An 18,724-nucleotide genomic window follows, 5' to 3' on the forward strand; every position below is an offset into this window, starting at 1 on the left:
GGCTCACACCTGTAATCCCAGCTACTTGGGAGGCTGAGGTGGGAGAATCGCTTGAATCCAGGAGGCGGAGGTTTCAGTGAGCTGATATCATGCCACTGCACTCCAGCCTGGGTGACCGAGTGAGACTCTGTCTCAAAAAAAAAAAAAAAAAAAAAAAAAAGGATGGCGTGTGGAAGATTTCTCCAGGGTTACCATTTCTACTTCAAGCCAAGTGGTGAGGACTCACGCATATCTGTTGCCACTAGTGATTTTTTTGTGCACACTTCTTGGATTTTCTTTTTTCACTCATTCATTCATTCCACAGACATGTGCTAAGTGATGACTATGACAACAGTTCTGCTATGAGGATTAAGTGGGATTAATCTGGTAAAGTGCTTACACAAGGCTGGGCACACAGAAATGCCTGGGAATCGTCTGTATTGTCAGCAGTACTGCCAAGGGTCAGACACTGGGGAAGACCCAAAGACCAATAAAACAGGTATCTGCCCTGGTGGAGCTCTCAGCTCACAAAAGACCTCCCCTCTGGAAGTGAGCAAGAATCCAGGGTGTGATGGATGTGTACAGGGATGGTGGAAGCACAAAAGACAGAGAGCCCAACCAAGACCACCAGGGTCTCCTAGAAGGCCCCAGTTTCTGAGGTGTGATCACCCCCCTCACTCTTTTTGGGAACCTCCCAATCTAGGCCACCCTTAGGCTGTCAGCAGCTTCTTCCTGGGCAGCTTCCCTGGGTAGGATGAGCAGGGCAGGCTACCATGGGGGAGGGCGTGTGGGTATTGACAAGATATAGTCCCCATTTCTGGTTTTTTAGAAAGTCTGGGTAGCAGTGTGTACTGCATTTAAAACAGCCTTCGGATTCAGATAAACGTGAATAAGCTGAATTTAGGCAAGTTGAAGCATTCAGATAAACATGAAGTAGAAGCTGAATTCAGGCAAATTGTTTATTTTACAGTGAGGTGATACTGCTCTCACAAGGTTGCTGGAAGGTTAAATAAGATCTGTAAAGCACGGAGCACACTGCCTGGCCCACAGCAAGCATTAAATGCCAGCTTTCCTACTATGTATTTCTCCCCTCCCTCATGTTGCCATCGTAACCCGTTTCCTTTGACAGCACTTTACAGTTCCCAAGGTGCTTTCATATACATTGTCTCATGCGATCCTCACCCTGTAAGGTAGACAGGGTAGGTGTTACCTTCCCCAACCAGCAGATGAAGGAACTGCGTAATTTAGCAAACATCACCTAGTCAAGAGTAAGCTGGGACATTCTTCTGGGTCCTCACCTGGGAGTCTAATGGGTTTGGAGAATGCTTTTCTGGTGGTCTGATCATGAAGTAAGAAAGAAGAGTAGTTCTCAATTGAGTGCAAGAGACCCCAGATGGGCTCACCAGCCCTGGTGGTCCCCACGGAAGTGGTGGTTGCTGGATCCTGGCCTCTTCCCCAGCAGCTCCTCCGTGAACTCTGCTTGGGAGTCCTGGCGGGGTAACTGGCAGGTCACGGGGAAGAATAGACCCTGCCTGGAGGCCCAGGCAGAGGAGCATCCGTGTGGCTCCGCAATGAGCTACGGAGGAGGAGGAGAGAACTCAGGAGCAATGCCTGCTGGAGCACAGTGGCCTGGGCTGGAAGCCAGCCTGGAAGGGGGAGGAGAGAGGCCCGTTCTAAGAACTACAGACTGCTGCTGTGGCTGCTGCTGATGTGGCAGGGAGAGCACATCTGGCAAGAGATAACTACCAGTGGCTCGTTGGTCTAGGGGTATGATTCTCGCTTAGGGTGCGAGAGGTCCCGGGTTCAAATCCCGGACGAGCCCTACTTTTTCTGTCCCTTCTCTGCTGCCACGTACACATACACTGCCTGCCCCTTCTAGGATGGAAGCAAAAAGGTAGCCTCATGGTGTGTGGCTAAAGGACCCTGAGGACAAACTGGCAGTCAGTCCCCCCATTAGCCATGGCCTATATGTACCCCATTATTTCCACTGGGGCCAAACTGACCAAGAGTGGACTGGCAGAGCATCTGGCTGGCCTGCATTTTATTTGGCAGAAAGACAGCCTGTCAGAGAGATCAGGACAAGGAGCGGGCTGGGCCAGAGCTGGAGGTCAGGATCAGGCAAGCTCTCAACATAAAACCTAAGCTATGAAATGCACTGGATTCAAAGTCCAAAAGCTAGGACGACAGTTACAGTTCTGAGTCTCAAAACTTATTTCTCAGAGTTGTTGGAAGGATGAAATCAGAAACTGTAATGCACCCTAGAGATATAGGGATTGTTAGGAATCGTATTACAGATAAAGAGAATCTAAAGGGGAACTTCTGGCAACATGAAAGACTGGACTAAGGTAGCTACCCCCTCATCCAGTGCCCCCAAACACGCACAGGGATGTTGGATAAAATAGAATTCAAAAATTAAAATTGGACAATCCCAACTTTTTTTTTTAATAAAGGAAATTATCAGCTATCAGGATTAAAGAAGGAATGTAAAAACAAACAAACAAAAAAAAAAAGCCGGGCGCGGTGGCTCTCACCTGTAATCCCAGCACTTTGGGAGGTCGAGGCGGGTGGATCACCTGAGGTCAGGAGTTCGAGACCAGCCTGACCAACAAGGTGAAACCCCATCTCTACTAAAAATATAAAAATTAGCTGGGCGTGGTGGTGAGCACCTGTAATCCCAGCTACTTGGGAGGCTGAGGCAGGAGAATCGCTTGAACCTGGAGGCGGAGGTTGCAGTGAGCCAAGATGGCACCATTGCACTCCAGCCTGGGCAACAGAGCGGGACTCCATCTCAAACAAACAAACAAATAAATAATGAAAACAAAACAAAACAAAACAAAAAGGCGGGGGGGCAGGGGGAAGGATATCACAACGGCCTATTGTGGATGTCATACACAGATAAGATAGACACCCAAGATCTGGAGTGTCTCAATGCTTCCAATTGTAGGATATGTGGCCTCACCTACCAGAGGCAAGGAGCTAAAGCTGAACCCCCTGCATAAAGCTCAGAATATAAAAGCTCCGTCTTGTTCGTGAAAAGAAGATTAAAGGCTGAGCACAGTGGCTCACACCTGCAATCCCAACATTTTGGGAGGCTGAGGTGGGGTGCTCACTTGAGCCTACGAGTTTGATACCAGCCTGGGCAACATAGCAAAACCCCTTCTCTACAAAAAATAAATTTAAAAAATTAGCCAGGTGTGGTGGTGTGCACCTGCAGTCCCAGCTACTTAGGAGGCTGAGGTGGGAGGATCGCTTGAGCCTGGGAGGTTGAGGCTACAATAAGCCATGATCACATCACTGCACTCCAGCCTGGGCAACAGAGCCAGACCCTGTCTCTGAAAAGAAAGAGAAAGAAAAAGAAAAGAAAAGAGAACTAAAAACCAGCAAGGAAGCAAGAAAAGGGGTGGAAATACAAGTCAACCCTGAGAAATTGATGTTCTAAGTCTGACCAAGTGCTTGTACTGTATCTGGATTTATGTCTTCATGGTGCTGAATCCAAGCGAGAAATTAAATATAAACCTGGTTTATGACCCTTGAAATCCTTAGGAATACCACACAGCCACACAGAAGCAAAAAAGAGTTCTATAAGACTGTTTTCATATAACCAGGGCATATAGGACTCCCACCAAAACAAACCAACCAACCAACCCATCGAAATGACAAAAACCCAAGATGTGCTGAAGAAGAGCTCACAATAAAAATTATGAACCTGTATAATATAAAATATTATAAACTTTCCCTGCTTTTCCCTCTGTCCAGACTGAGAGATACAGAGTGCTTTAAGTGCTCTGTGATCCAGCCAGCTGAAATGTTTTCCCCTATAGGCTTGAACCCAAGCTAGGGCCTTGAACATTCACAGGCACTGATAAAGGTGTTTAGGTTGTTGCTGAAAACACTGAAAGACCAACCATGTTGCTAAACATATAGAAGCTAGCCCTGTCCCCAGCCAAATTCCTGAAACCCTCATTTAAACTTCATAAACCTCATTTAAACTCCCTCATTGTGGACACACCTAGGCAGAACATCCCTTGTCTCGCTCTCTACCCCGAGGATCCACGGCAGCTCACTTTCTATGTACATTCCCCTAATAAATGCTTTGGACCAATCCCCTGATGTTCATTGCTTGGTGTCTTTGGAATCTCAACCAGCCCCATTTCAGAACAGTTTGGGGCACTCCCTTGTGGAGTTCCTGCTTTTCGGGTGATTCTAGCCACAGGTTCAGCTGAGAAGAAACAAAACTAGACAAGGAAGCAATTCATCATAAGGAAGTGTTGGTGGACACAGCAAACAAGAGAGCACTCCAAGAACTACACATGATAGAACAACATGAAAAACATTATATAATAAATATATGTAGAAGTATTAAAGACAAGGAAATAAACCATAGGGAAAAAAATCAAACACAACATGAAGAAATGAAAGACATAAACATTGAAATTAACGACTCTTAGCACTGGAAAATTATACTTAATAACAAAGAAGACATTAAAAACTCAGTGATGCATTAAACAGTAGATTATTAGACTCAGGCAAAGAGAGAATAAGTGAACTGGAAAAGAGCTGATGAAATAATTCAAAATATGAAAAAGTGGGAAAGTGATAAGATAGAAAATATGAAAGAATAGCTAAAAAACAGGAGGGAAATAATGAGACAGACTAATATATATCTAATAGGAGTTCCTGAATGTGACTGAGAGAATGGGGAAAATATAATATTCCAATAGATAATGGTTGAAAATTTTAATGGAAGAAAGACACAGTTCTCAGGTTGAAGAGTCCTGAGCTCTGAAACACACTGTGGAGAAACTGCAGGATACTGAAGAAAGAGAAAAGTCTTTTTTTTTTGAGACAGGGTCTCACTCTATTGCCCAGGCTGGAGTGCGGTGGTGTGATCATAGCTCACTGAAGCCTCAAACTCCTAGGCCCAAGCAATCCTTCCACCTCAGCCTCCTGAGCAGGTAGAACCACAGGTGTGTGCTGTCATGTCCACCTAATTATTTGTTTATTTATTTTGAGATGGAGTCTTGCTTTGTCACCCAGGCTGGAGTTATTTTTTAATTTTTATAGAGACAGAGTCTTGCCATGTCACCCAGGCTGATCTCAAACTCCTGGGCTCAGGCCATCTTCCCAAGGCACTAGGATTATAGACATGAGCCACCACACCTGAGAAAAACCTTAAAATAACCAGAAATAAAAATGCCTGTCTGCCTACAAAGATAACAATTATATTTGCAGCTCACTTCTAGCAACAGGAGATTAATTATAAGGGAAAAAAAAGAATGGAAAAAAAAAGATTATAGAAAAGACATTTTTTTGACCAGGCGTGGTGGCTCATGCCTGTAATCCCAGCACTTTGGGAGGCTGAGGTGGGTGGATCACCTTAGGTCAGGAGTTCAAGACCAGCCTGGCCAACACGGTGAAACCCTGTCTCTATTAAAAATACAAAAATTAGCTGGGTGTGGTGGTGCCCACCTGTAATCCCAGCTACTTGGGAGGCTGAGACTGAAGAATCGCTTGAACCCGAGAGGCAGAGGTTGCAGTGAGCTGAGATCACGCCACTGCACTCCAATCTGGGCAACAGAGTGAGACTCCTTCTCAAAAAAGAAAAGAAAAAAAAGAAAAGAAAATACTTATTTTTTAAAATTATGGAAAAAAATCTTTGTCACTTATTAGCAGCAAAAGATTACAGGGAAAAAATATCTTCAAAAGGCTAAGAGAAAATAACTGTCATTCAGAATTTGATGCCTACTAAATTTTCATTAAAAGGGCATGAAATAAAGACATTTTAAGACATTAACTGAGAATGCTAACCCCTCAAAGACTTACACTGAAATGCCACAAAAGGGTAGATTTTATAAGAAGGAAACTGAAATAAGAAGGAATGGTGAGCAGAGAAATTTATAAATATGTTAGTAGATCTAAACAAGCCTTGAGACAGATGATGATGATAAAGATGGTGGTGGTGGTGATAATGGTGAGGATGACACTTCCTGGGGTTAGAAAGAAGGGGAAACTAAAATACTAGATAGAAATATGGGAGATGGTGGAGAAAGAAGAACAGAGTTAACATGTTCTAAGATCTATTATTCAGAAAAAGTATAGTGATATTGATTCACTGTAGAGCTAAGTAAGAATGTTTAGAAATATATAAAGAGGTAATCACTGAAAGAGTAGAAATAGAATGTGTAACTTCCAAATCAGTGGGGGCCAGAGGATAAATTAAAGCCACTGTCAGTGGTGTTTAAATTGGTCTAACTACACAATAGAGCAATTTGGCAACGGCTAGTGAAGTTTAAGATGCACCTACTCTATGACCCAGAAATTCCACTTCTAGGTATCCATCCTAGGAGAATGCATGAAATTGTCAAGTGCAGCACTGTTTTTAATATGGAAAACTGGAAACAGTCAAAATGTCAATCAGCCGAAAAATGGATAAATTGCAGTGAATTCAAGCAATGAAAGAGTTTTCAGTAGTTAAAATTCATAAACTGGAGCTATATGAAACAACATGGATAAATGCAAAAAAAAAAAAAAACAAAAAAAGTTTGCAGAAAAATGTGTACAATATAACACTATTTACATAAATTTCTAAAACACACAAGTCGCAATTATGTATTGTTGGTAGACACATTCATAAAAGGTAAAACATACATACAGGTAAAACTGGAAAACCATAAATAGAGGGCTACCTTGAATCAAATGTGGCAAGATCTGACTGGTTGTAGGATTTCAGTTCTGTGTGCATGGTTATTTGTTACGTTATTCTCTGTACCATACTTTTCTGCATGTTTCAAATACTCATATTTTTTTTCTTTTTAATGAAAGGATCTAGGCATTTAGAAATAAGGGTAAAGGGGGATAAATGGCTACATCAGTCCTCAAAGAGGATGATCTCCTGGGATGGGATTAGGAGGGAGGCTGAGCCCTGAGTCCAGGGATTACAGGGATTAATTCAGATCATCCCCCTAGGTTGATCACCTGGCTGACATGCCCACCACTCCTGGCCCCTCAGAGATGCATTTCTGGACCACAGCCCACCTCCCTCATATCTCTTAAGCTCTTTTCTCCCGCCTTTTAACTGCCTCCCTCCGCCCTCAACCCAGTACTGGTCTGGCCAGGGTTTGACCAAGTTTGGCTCCTGAAAATAGACTGGTTCAGGTCTCTCTTAAATGTTCTCCCAAATCAAGGGTGAAAGGTGACCTGCATGCCAGGAGCCAGGGAGAGATTAGTCCTAATACTCAGGATCAGAGCTCCCTGAGGAGAGCTTGAACCCTGGATGTCACCATCGACAATTTCCCTGCTGTGCCTCCCTACATTCACCAAGAGGTCAGCAGTCAAGGCCAACCGCTAACGTGGCCCTGCTGGCGGAGGCAGAACCAGGAGGAGCTGCGCTGGGCAGAAAGAACAGCCAGTAAGCTTCCAGAACTAGTCTTTGCCAGTTCCCAGAGCACTGCATCCCTCAAGCCCCCAGTGCAGCCCCTTTCTACCACCCCTGACAAATGCTCTGCTCCCCAAATCTGGACAGGCTTGGCGTCTGCAGTAAACCCTCTGCAGAAGGGGTCTGGGTGGGCTTGTTCAACTTTCCCCACAACTGTGTCACCTTGGCCACAGGATCTGGAGTAGAATCTTGTCATCTGGGAGCAAAGAAAACATTCTTGATCTCTGCTCATCATCTCTCTGCTGAGATAATGAGAGAGGCAGAGGAAGAAAAAAGGAGCAAGGAGTTGGGGGAGGGAGAGAGACTTATGGGCAACATCATCATTAATAGGCAACATTTAACACCACAAATATGAAATCATGTTAAATGATAAGACAGGGCATTAACTGGGTAGCTGGGAGATTGACCTTTAACTCATTTATCCTGTGTCAGAAACTCTGTCAGATGCTGGAAATACAAAGATAACTAAGATCCCCCTAACCTTCAGGAAACTGGGCAGAGCCCGGACAACCCGGAGGGCCTGGTGCTGTTACAGACAAATAGGGGCGAGCACCACAAAAGCGCCTAGTGGGGCAGGGATGGGGTGCCAGTCAGAGAAGGCCACCTGGAGGTGACCCCCAGCTGAAAAGGAGGGGGAAGTCCAGGCAAAGAAGGGCTTCCTTCCCGTGGAACAGGGATGGCTTGTGGACGTGGGAGCCTGTGGGATGTCAGAGACATTTGAGCCAGAGCAACTCCATCTTGAATAGAAGCTGGGTAAAATGAGGCTGAGACCTACTGGGCTGCATTCCCAGACGTTTAAGGAATTCTAAGTCACAGGATGAGATAGGAGGTTGGCACAAGACACAGGTCATAAAGACCTTGCTGATAAAACACCTTGCAGTAAAGAAGCCGGCCAAAACCCACTAAAACCAAGATGGCAGTGAGAGTGACCTCTAGTAATCCTCACACTGTTACACTCCCACCAGTGCCATGACAGTTTACAAATGCCATGGCAACATCAGAAAGTTACCCTACATTGTCTGAAAGGGGGTGTCAGGAATAAACCACCCCTTGTTTAGCATATCATCAAGAAATAACCAAAAAAAGCAGCCCTTGGGGCTGCTCTGTCTATGGAGTAGCCATTCTTTATTCCTTTACTTTCCTAATAAACTTGCTTTTAGTTTATCCTATGGACCTCCCTGAATTCTTTCTTGCGTGAGATTCAAGAACCCTCTGTTGCGGTCTGGATCCGGATCCCTTTCCTGCAGCGGGGGGAACGCAGACAATACTAGCCCTCGACCTGTGAGTGGATGTGCCAGAGAGGGGATCCGCGTGTGTCCCTGGCTTAGGAATCTTCCAGCCATTTCCTGGATGTGCTGGGGAGCCCCTGTTCCCAACTGTGCCCACTTCTATCCTTGCCGAGACCTGCCGAGATGTGAGAACTGCCTCTTCAAGAGCCGGCACCCAGTAGTCATAGCCTGAATAAACGAATGGTTGAAGACGTGAAATAAGCCCCCTGGGCTTCCAAATCTCCCTTCCACGAGAGTGAACATCAGTCGTGCCCACTCTGAGCGGGCTACTGTGGGGGCGTGGCTCGCAGCCCACCGGGTGTGGGACCGGAAGGGAAGACAGGGCGGAGGAGAGGGGGTCTTCCGGCCCTGAGGCTTGATGGGGCCACCGGAGGGCTCCTCCTAAGAGGGTCCTTGGCCCTGGCTCGGTGGGGGGTCGCGGAAAGCGGAGAGGTCAGGGCCCTGCCGTTCGCCCATCCGGGCCTCGACTTCCCTCCTCCGGCCCCCAGGCTGCCGAGGGGCCACCGGGCAGGGGTGGGCAGGGCCTGGGGCCGGAGTCAGCGCGGACTGCTAGGTGGGGGCGCCGGCCGGGCGGGGGAGGGAGGGAAGGAGGGGCGCGCGTGTCTGCGCTTTTGGAGGAAACAGTCCCACCTCGTCCTTTGCCGTCCCCATTGCTGAGCATGACCGGGCCCTGACACCTGGTGCAGAAGGGTCCCTGGGCACAGCAGACCCCGGGGGGACCCGCCGCCAGAACCAGGGGATCTCGCTCCTCCCTCTTGGGGCAGCCATAAGCCTAGGAGCTCCTGACGCTGTCCGGGCCCCGCGGCTCCCCGCGCTCTCTAGGGGAGAGCCTTGGGGCGTATCCGGGGTCGCGCTCACCCTCCCGCGCCGCCCCCTGCACGGGCTCGGAGCTCCCGAGTGCTGGGAGGGCTTCCGGGCGGCGGCGAGCGGCGGGGGGCGGTGTCAGGAGGCCCGGCCAGGCCCCGCCCCCTCGTCCGCCCTCCCTCCCTCCCTGCGCACCCGGCTCGGGTCCCCGGGCTCGCGGCTGCGGCTTCTGCTCAGGGAGGCGGAAGGCGGCGGCGGGAGCGGTCATGGAGGCGGGCGCCGGAGCCGGCGCGGGAGCCGCGGGCTGGAGCTGCCCGGGCCCAGGTCAGAGCCGCCCCTCCGTCACCTGTCTACCGCCCCTCCTTTCTCTCCTCCATCCCTCCTCCTTCCAGACCCCCAGGTGCTCCCGGCCTCCGCGGCTCCCCTTTCTCCGCCCAAAGTCTTCCTCCCTCCATCCTGGCCTCCACCGGGGCCCGGTCTCCATCCTTCCGGCCTGGGACTGAGGCTTCCGCGCACCGGCCGCATCCTGCCTGGTGGTCCCTCCCCAGCGCGTCTCTCCACTTCAGTCCGACGGTGCTTCCAGCCTTCGGGACTGCAGACCCTACACCTCCTGCAGCCCCGGAGACTCCTGAGCGCGGGGCGAGGGTGGGGTGGGCAAGGTCCAGCGAGAGAATGGGAGGAGAGGGGAGGGGAGCGGTCGCAGCCCTACCCCTTCCCGCACGCCCCCCACTCCTCCCTCCCTCCATCTGTAGGCCACCTCAGCCTTTCAGCCTCTTCTTCACTGGCTCCCGCCCTCTTTCAGTCTTGGCCCTCTCCTCCCTGTCCCCCCGGACTAAATACGCACACCCCCTCTTTCTTTCTGTGCAAGCAAGAGGGTCCTGGAACAGCGGGTTCTGAGGAGGCTGGGAGGCAGGGCTGAGAGGTGGCCGAGAGAGAGGAGTCGCAGAGCCGCCAGAGTGAGTCAGGCACCTCCACTGGGATTACAGATCCCAGAGCCTCGAGGAGCTGGAAGACATGTCCCCTTCTTTCCTCTGCACCCCAGCCCGCAGCCAGCCCCCCACCCCCCAGCCCCTCCTTTCTCCCTGCTCTCAGGACCCACAGTGACCACTCTAGGCTCCTATGAGGCTTCCGAGGGCTGTGAGAGGAAGAAGGGCCAACGCTGGGGGTCCCTGGAACGACGGGGGATGCAAGCTATGGAGGGTGAGTTTTCCCAAAAGGCTTCTTTCTTTCCCCTCCCCTCCTCCCTTAATTCCCTTCTTTCCTCCCTCTGACCCCCAGGCCTCTGAGCCAGGACACAGCCCTTCCCTCAGTTCATCTTAGCCCCTCTTCCTGCAGCTCAGAGCTCCAGCCCTTCCCAGGGCTCAGGCTTTGACAGAAGTTCAGGATGCATCCCTTCGGGACCCCAATCACCCCCCAGCTAACCAGGTTATGTGTCCCGAGGGAGCTGCCAGACAGAGAAAGAGGCCTTGTTGGACAGAGCTTTGAAGCAGCCTTTCAGCAGGGGGTTTGTCCTCACTGCCTGCCGACCCAGATCCCAAGCTGTCTCTTATTTTAAAAAGCAAGGAACTGGGCATGTGAATTGTCTTTCTGGGGCCACCAACATTAACTTCGAATGGAAGCCTGTGGCTTTGGTTCTTTAGGATACCTTATTGCCTGAAAGAGAGAGCCTAGGAGGGGGCGCGTGAGGCCATCCTCCCAACACACGTGTATCCCCACCACACCCATGTGACTTGGCAGTTGCTGCCAACACCAGGCCCCTGGAAGGACGCTGGTCCATTTGCCAGTACTTCCTGTGAAGTGTTGCACGTTGCACATTCAGTATGGGCAAACCTGCTCCCCCTAAGGGGGACAGATGGCACGAAGGGTCCCAGTTGAACCTAAGGCTGCTGATATTAGATAAAGTAAGACCAGAGATTCAGAATTTTAAAACAAAGCAAACAATCACCATCCAGACAACATTTTGCTATTTATAGGGACTGCGTTGCAGTAAAGGAGCGGGTGCTCACAACCAGAGGCTGGGGGCCAGCACCAAACCCCAGTTTTTTTAATGCATTAAAATGGTAGGCTTTCTTTTACACACAAGTACAGCCTAAAACTTCCCCTGAAATCTACTTTGTGGTCAGCAGAGTAGGAGGGGCCTCATATGGCTCAGCTAGGGGAGAGGAGACCTTGTGACATGCAGCAGGGAAAAACAAGGTGGACCTTGTAGAAAATTTCAAACAGGTATTTAATAATATACATTTGAAAGGGCGCCCGAGTTTGTCCAATGAAACCTCTACAATCAGATATTTTCTTTCTCTACCTGCTGACGGGCAATGTTTTCTTATTATGGAAAGGCTGATTTTTCACAAGCCACCTGGATAGTTTTTGTTTGGTTGTTTTTGTTTGTTTGTTTGTTTGAGACGGAGACTCACTCTGTTGCCCAGGCTGGAGTGCCAGTGGCTCGATCTCGCCTCACTGCAACCTCCAGTTCCCAGGTTCAAGCGATTCTCCTGCCTTAGCCTCCCAAGTAGCTGGGATTACAGGCGTGTACTACCACGCCCAGCTAATTTTTTTGTATTTTTAGTAGAGAAGGGGTTTCACCATGTTGACCGGGCTGGTTTGGAACTCCTGGCCTCAAGTAATCCACCCACCTCAGCCTCCCAAAGTGCTAGGATTACAGGCATGAGCCAGCATGCCTGGTCAGTTTTGTTTTGTTTTTTAACTTTCAAGAAATCTCCAAACTGTAACTGTTACCCCATTTGACCGAAAGATCCGCTCACTGTCTCCTTTCTTGACTACTTGTCCTGCTACTCAGAGGCCAGCCTAGAAGAAGCAGGTAATCCTGTGCAAGTGTCTCATGGCTGAGCGGGCACCAGCCTGCCCACAGGCAGTGATAGGAGGCTACCAAGTGCAACATTGGTCCAGGAAGGGCCTGGGAGGTGGAGGGGCTGCTTCTCAACTTGACTCTCACACCTGAGGACTCATCTTGAGTACAGGTCTTGCCCCGGGGCTCCTTGGGGGACACCAGGTGGCACTAGTATGTCATCTCTGCCCTGGCATAGTGAGTTTGAGGGCCCTGGAAGGACGGCAGAAAGGAAGTTGATGCTGACTCCTTGGTGGGATGGCTGTGTCTCCTAGGGGAGGTGTTACTCCCAGCTCTCTATGAGGAGGAAGAGGAAGAGGAAGAGGAGGAAGAAGAGGTGGAAGAAGAAGAAGAACAAGTGCAGAAAGGTGGCAGTGTTGGCTCTCTGTCAGTCAACAAGCACCGGGGACTGAGCCTCACGGAGACAGAGCTGGAGGAGCTGCGGGCTCAGGTGCTGCAGCTGGTGGCAGAACTGGAGGAGACCCGGGAACTGGCAGGGCAGCATGAGGATGACTCCTTGGAGCTACAGGGTGAGTGCCTGGGCCAGGGCCCAGTGCCCGGGCCCAGAGGCTCTGCACTCCCCTGGATCCGAGCTTGACACTGGTGCCCCTCTCCCTGCAGGGCTCCTGGAGGATGAACGGCTAGCCAGCGCCCAGCAGGCAGAGGTGTTCACCAAGCAGATCCAGCAGCTCCAAGGTAATTCCCAGGACTTGGACTGGAGGGAGGTGGCCATCCAAGTGGTCACCTAAGTACTTTTTTCCTGAGGGTTTGACTGAAGCACAGCAGATAAAAATAACCAAATTCAGTAATTTCACCTCATTTTCCTCTACTAGTCTCACCCTTTTCCTCTCCTTGTCTCTCCATCCTCCTCTGTCCCCAGTTTTCTTTCTTTGCACATCTACCTGGCTCTTCTGTCCTCCCCTTCCATTTCTTGGCCTCCCTGTCACCTCCTGTCCCTGGTGGGCTCTTTCCTCTTGCCCCTTCAGCCTCCTCCTTCATACTGCATCCCTGTCCCTTTGTTCTCCTGGTCAGTGCCAGGGGTGGGTGATCCAAGTTGAATTCCAAGCCGGATTCCTTTTTCTGGTTCCTCCAAGGATGGCATGGGAAAGCATGAAGCCAATGAGAAGTGACTGGTGGGGCCTCTCTGCACCTATTAAGAGAGACAGATGACAGCACTTCTGTTGCTGCCTGGGACCTGAGCTTGTGGGCCCCAAATCCCTTTTTGCCAACACCCACGTCCCTTTGTCTCTGGGAAGCAGCAAGGCAGATGCCCCACATTCCACCACACCACCAAATAAAGAGGCAGCTTTTGTTACTTCTGTGGGCCTCCGGAAGGTTTAGGGGAGCTGCCCTAGAAAACGGCAGGGACTCTGGGGAGAACTGAGATCAAGCCAAAAGAAAAGTATAAATGGAGAAAAAAAAGGAAGGCCAGGAAGCAGGCCTGGACAGGAGCAAGCAGAGGTGTAAGTGGGGAGGAGAGGAGACGGGGACAGAAAATGTAAGCAAAGGTAGATACAGGAAGGGTGGTCAGTGAAGGGGCTTGCAGAGGAGGAAAGTGGCAGGACACGTGTCACATAGGGAAGAGTGTGGGCATTGATCTGGGATGACCTAGATTCCTGGGCCCAGCTATACCACTTAGAAATTGTGTGATCTTGGGCAAGTCACTTATCTTTCTGAGATGTCATTTCTTATCTGTAAAATGGGACTAATTTATTTATCACCTATTTATGAGGTGCCTTTATACTTGGAGGACCAGCTGTGAATGAGACAGACCACATCTCTGCCCTAATGAAGAGTACATTCTAACGGAGAGAGGCAGAAAATAAACAACACAAGTTCAGATGGCAATAAATGCTATGAACACGATATAATAATATGATACAGAGAGGAGGTGGGATGGGAGTTTATTTTATTTTATTTTGAGACAGAGTCTTACTCTGTTGCCCAGGCTGGAGTGCAATGGCACAATCTCAGCTCACTTCAACCTCTGCCTCCCAGGTTCAAGCGATTCTAGTGCCTCAGCCTCCCGAGTAGCTGAGATTACAGGCATGCGCCACCACACCTGGCTAATTATTGTATTTTTAGTAGAGATGGAGTTTCACCATGTTGGCCAGGCTGGTCTTGAAGGGAGTTTATTTTAGATATGGCAGTTAGGAAAGTCATCTTTGAGAAGATGACATTTGAGCTAAGACCTGAATAATGAAAAGGATCCAGCCATCCAAGATCTGAGGGAGGAGCATACCAGGCAGAAGCAACAGCAACTGCAAAGGCCCAGAGGTGAGAATGAGCTTCATTTGTTTGAGCGACAGAACAGAGGCCACTGTGTTTGCAGCAAAGTGCACGTGGAGGACCCTGGCAAGAGAACGTTCTGAGGCAGGCAGAGGCCAGATTACAGTGGATCTTGTAGGCCAGCCAAGAGGTTTGGCTTTCATGTTAAGTGTGGTAGAAAGCCAGGAGAGGGTCTTAGCCAGGAATGGGATGATACGATCTGCTTTACATTTTTAAAAGAGAACTTGGCCACTAAGTGGAAACACTTAAGATGGAGGGAAGTGACTCAGAACAGTGAGTCCTGTCAGCAAGTTACTGCAATAGTCCAGTCAAGAGATGATGGTCGCTTGAGTTAGGGCTGTAGAAATGGAGATGATTCAGAATATATATATATATATATTCTTTTTTTTTTTTTTTTTGAGACGGAGTCTCGCTCTGTCGCCCAGGCTGGAGTGCAGTGGCGGGATCTCGGCTCACTGCAAGCTCCGCCTCCCGGGTTCACGCCATTCTCCTGCCTCAGCCTCCCAAGTAGCTGGGACTACAGGCGCCCGCCACTACGCCCGGCTAATTTTTTGTATTTTTAGTAGAGACGGGGTTTCACCGTTTTAGCCGGGATGGTCTCGATCTCCTGACCTCGTGATCCGCCCGCCTCGGCCTCCCAAAGTGCTGGGATTACAGGCGTGAGCCACCGCGCCCGGCCCAGAATATATTTTGAAGGTGAAGCCCTCGGGATTTGCTAATGAATTCGATCAGGGGATAACAGAGACATGAAAGATGACTTTGCCTTGAGAAAATTGATGGAAGGTGGTGATGTTTATTGAATTGGGAAAGACTTGGCAAGGGGTAAGTTTTGGGGCTAGGGGAGCCATTTAAAACATGTTTTCCTCTGTTGAGTTTGAAGTAACTGTGGACATCCAAGTGAATATATTGAGGCAGTTGGATATATAAAGGCAGAACCAGGGAGAAAACAGGGCCGGAGATGTAAATTTGGAGTCATTAGCATATAATTGGCATTAGAATCCATGGGAAATAATGGTGCAGTCACATGGAGAGACACCAGAAGAGGAGAAAGGGTCCAGTCCCAGAGACACTCCAGTATTTAGAGGTCCAGTATAGAAGGAGAAATGAACAAAAGAGTAAAGTGAGAGGAACTCCTGGAGCATGTCATGCCCTGTAAGCCAGAGCAGAAAGTGCTTCAAGGAGACAGTGATCCACTGTGTCAGGTTGCTAAGTCAAGTGAGATGGTCTTGGATTTGGCAAGAGAGAGGACCCTGAGACATCTCAGTGCATGGAGGCACCGATTGGATTGGGTTTGGAGAGGAAATGGGAGATGAAGGTGAGTACCGATAACTCCAGTAGTCATTTTGAAGAGAAGCAGAGAAGTAAGGGAAATAGGGTCAAAAGATTATTTCTTTTCTTTTTTCAAAGGTAGGAAATGCTAGATCATGTATAATGAAAGAAAAGATCCAGTACAAAAAAAGGCCTTTGCCTGGAGAAGGAACGTTCCTCCATTCAAACGGGCGAAAAGTCAGAATTGAAGCAGAGATGCAGGCAGGAACTACCTGGGAAAATAGGGTTCTATTTTTTTTTTTTTTGAGACGGAGTCTCGCTGTGTCGCCCAGGCTGGAGTGCAGTGGCGTGATCTCGGCTCACTGCAAGCTCCGCCTCCCGGGTTCACGCCATTCTCCTGCCTCAGCCTCCCGAGTAGCTGAGACTACAGGCGCCCGCCACCACACCCGGCTAATTTTTTGTATTTTTAGTAGAGGCGGGGTTTCACTGTGTTAGCCAGGATGGTCTCGATCTCCTGACCTCATGATCCGCCCGCCTCTGCCTCCCAAAGTGCTGGGATTAAAGGCGTGAGCCACCGCGCCCGGCCGAAAATAGGGTTCCAGAGCGATTCTCTCCTCAGTAGAGTTTTTTGTTTGTTTTGAGACGAAGTCTTGCTCTGTCACCCAGGCTGGAGTGCAGTGGCGAGATCTTGGCCCACTGCAACCTCCTCCTCCTGGGTTGAAGCAATTCTTCTGCCTCAGCTTCGCGAGTAGCTGGGACTACAAATGCCAGCCACCACACCCGGCTAATTTTTGTATATTTAGTAGAGATGGGGTTTCGCCATTTTGGCCAGGCTGGTCTCCAACCCCTGATCTCAAGTGATCCACCAGCCTCAGCCTCCCAAAGTGCTGGGATTAAAGGTGTGAGCCACCGTGTTTGGCCGACAATACCATTTTTTTAGGGCCAGAAGCACCTAAGAGAGAGTTGAACCCTAACATCAAAAGCATATTAGGGAGGTGGAGGTTGGTCTGTTTCTCCAGAACACCCACCCCAGACTCTAGGGCCTTTGTCCTAATGGCCAGCTTCCTCTTGTGTCTCCCTAGCTAGACAGACCTCACTGTGCTGCTCAGTAGTGGGGGTAGAGCGGACTTTTCTTCCAATAGGAAGTCAGAGAATCTAACAGGAGATTCTTGGCCTTGGCACGCAGTTAAGGATCAGTTAATAGTTGTTGAATAGATCAAGGAGACGTAACAGCTAGGATCATTCTAGAACTGGAAAGATTGGCAAAAGACATGCCCATAGTTCCACATGTGAGCTCAGGGGAGCAGGGTAGATCTTCCCCTGAGATGCCCTCACCACTCAGCATCTATCTATGAAGCGTGTCCAAATTTGTCTTCTTTGAAAGTCTAGATTCTATTCTAATTTTTAAAAAATATCCAAACAGGGCCAGGTGTGGTGGCTCATGCCTGTAATCCCAGCACTTTGGGAAGCCAAGATGGATCGCCTGAGCCCAGGAGTTTGAGACCAGCCTGGGCAACAGAAAGAGACCCCCATCTCTACATTAAAAAAAAAAAAAAAAAAAAAAAAAGCAGGGCATGGTAGCCCATGCCTGTAGTCTCAGATATTAGGGATGCTGAGGAGGGAGGATTGCTTGAGCCCAGGAAGTCAAGGCTGCAGTGAGCCATGATCATGCCACTCCACTCCAGCCTGGGCAACAGAACAAGACTGTCTCAAAAACAGAAAGGAAAACCCCCCAAACCCCAAATGTTTAGTTCTGTACACATAAGAGATACTTAGCAAAAGTTTGTTGAATAGATGAACTGCTGCCTTACTTATGCATGAATACATCAAATATCTATTGAGCTTCGTTTTCAGGCACAATACTAGATCCTGGAGCTGTAATGGTGAGCAAACCAGATATGCTCTCTGCCTCGATAAAGCTTATAACCAAGTGAAGGGGAGACTTAAGTACACACACACATATAGCAAAGTACAAGGTTTTATGAGACCATTTAATAGAGGACTTCTCTTATTTTTTTTTGAGGAAGTGGAGGTACAGGCTAGAAAAGTTGACATCTGAGTGGTGAGTAGAATGAGCAGAAGTTGGGGGAAGGGGATGGGAGAATGTGCCTTGCAAAGGATTTATGGGAAAATCCTGACCCTCCCAACCCAATCCTCATTAATTCTCTAATCCTGGCCCTCAAATCCTAAATTCACTGTTGGTGTCAGTGCCTTTTACTCTCTCCACTTTTTCGTTCTGATCCCAGATGGGTACATGTGTCTAGAAACTCTGAGATGCTCCATAGATACAGAGAACTCTTAACTCATTATTTTGTAAATTAAAAAATAGAAAATATAGGCTTGTTCTGAAAATCCAAACAGCACAGATAGATATGATATGTAAAGTAAAAACCTTACCACATGTTATCCCATACCTCAGAAACAACTACTCATTATGGTTTGGGCATAGATCTTTCCAGGCCTTTTTCTATATGTTTGTCCATTTGTGTGTTATATACTATACATAAAATATTTTTTGCAAAAATTAGATCATAGCATATATTTTACAGCTCTTTTTCTTCAGTTAATATGGAAACTTCTTTGTTTTCACCATAGATCTGATACTTTCTTTTAAATGGCTGCATGATATTCTATTTAACTATCATCAGTTTATTTATTTATTATTGTTATTATTTTTCGAGACCGAGTCTCACTCTGTTGCCCAGGCTGGAGTGCAGTGGTGCGATCTTGGCTCACAGCAACCTCTGCCTCCCGGGCTCAAATGATTCTCCTGTCTCAGCCTCCCAAGTAGCTGGGATTACAGGGGCGTGCCAC

General features: G+C 48.7%; 1 protein-coding gene and 1 non-coding gene across 26 annotated transcripts in view, besides 3 other annotated features; both read left to right on the forward strand.

Annotated features, from left to right (window-relative positions):
• Positions 1,674-1,883: a silencer, noted in NCBI's record as "silent region_18614". NCBI's record gives its function as "represses an Ori minimal core promoter by ATAC-STARR-seq in GM12878 lymphoblastoid cells {active_cell/tissue: GM12878}" and the evidence as "EXISTENCE:reporter gene assay evidence [ECO:0000049][PMID:35858748]".
• Positions 1,730-1,801, forward strand: TRP-AGG2-3 (tRNA-Pro (anticodon AGG) 2-3). The gene has a single exon. It is a non-coding gene; the product is annotated as a tRNA-Pro (tRNA).
• The window catches only part of CCDC136 (coiled-coil domain containing 136), a 31,370-nt gene continuing 21,686 nt past the window's right edge, over positions 9,041-18,724 (forward strand). For 19 of the 25 annotated variants that reach the window (XM_011516483.2, XM_011516484.2, XM_011516489.2 and 16 more), the window contains exons 1-4: positions 9,718-9,831; positions 10,600-10,707; positions 12,628-12,882; positions 12,974-13,048. In XM_011516483.2, coding sequence (XP_011514785.1) covers positions 9,774-9,831; positions 10,600-10,707; positions 12,628-12,882; positions 12,974-13,048 — 496 coding nt within the window. In that variant the 5' untranslated portion in view covers positions 9,718-9,773. Of the gene's footprint in view, positions 9,257-9,717; positions 9,832-10,247; positions 10,708-12,627; positions 12,883-12,973; positions 13,049-18,724 lie in introns of those variants that run through there. The other 6 variants (XM_024446874.2, XM_047420722.1, XM_024446873.2 and 3 more) reach the window with 3 other exon arrangements.
• Positions 9,355-9,824: a silencer, noted in NCBI's record as "silent region_18615". NCBI's record gives its function as "represses an Ori minimal core promoter by ATAC-STARR-seq in GM12878 lymphoblastoid cells {active_cell/tissue: GM12878}" and the evidence as "EXISTENCE:reporter gene assay evidence [ECO:0000049][PMID:35858748]".
• Positions 9,363-9,631: a silencer, noted in NCBI's record as "fragment chr7:128431137-128431405 (GRCh37/hg19 assembly coordinates)". NCBI's record gives its function as "represses an EF-1alpha promoter that drives an FKBP-Casp9 reporter gene in an ReSE screen in phorbol 12-myristate 13-acetate-treated (for megakaryocytic differentiation) K562 erythroleukemia cells {active_cell/tissue: K562(+PMA)}" and the evidence as "EXISTENCE:reporter gene assay evidence [ECO:0000049][PMID:32094911]".

The sequence above is a fragment of the Homo sapiens genome, chromosome 7 (genome assembly GCF_000001405.40).
Source record: "Homo sapiens chromosome 7, GRCh38.p14 Primary Assembly".
In the NCBI taxonomy this organism is placed as follows: Eukaryota; Metazoa; Chordata; class Mammalia; order Primates; family Hominidae; genus Homo; species Homo sapiens.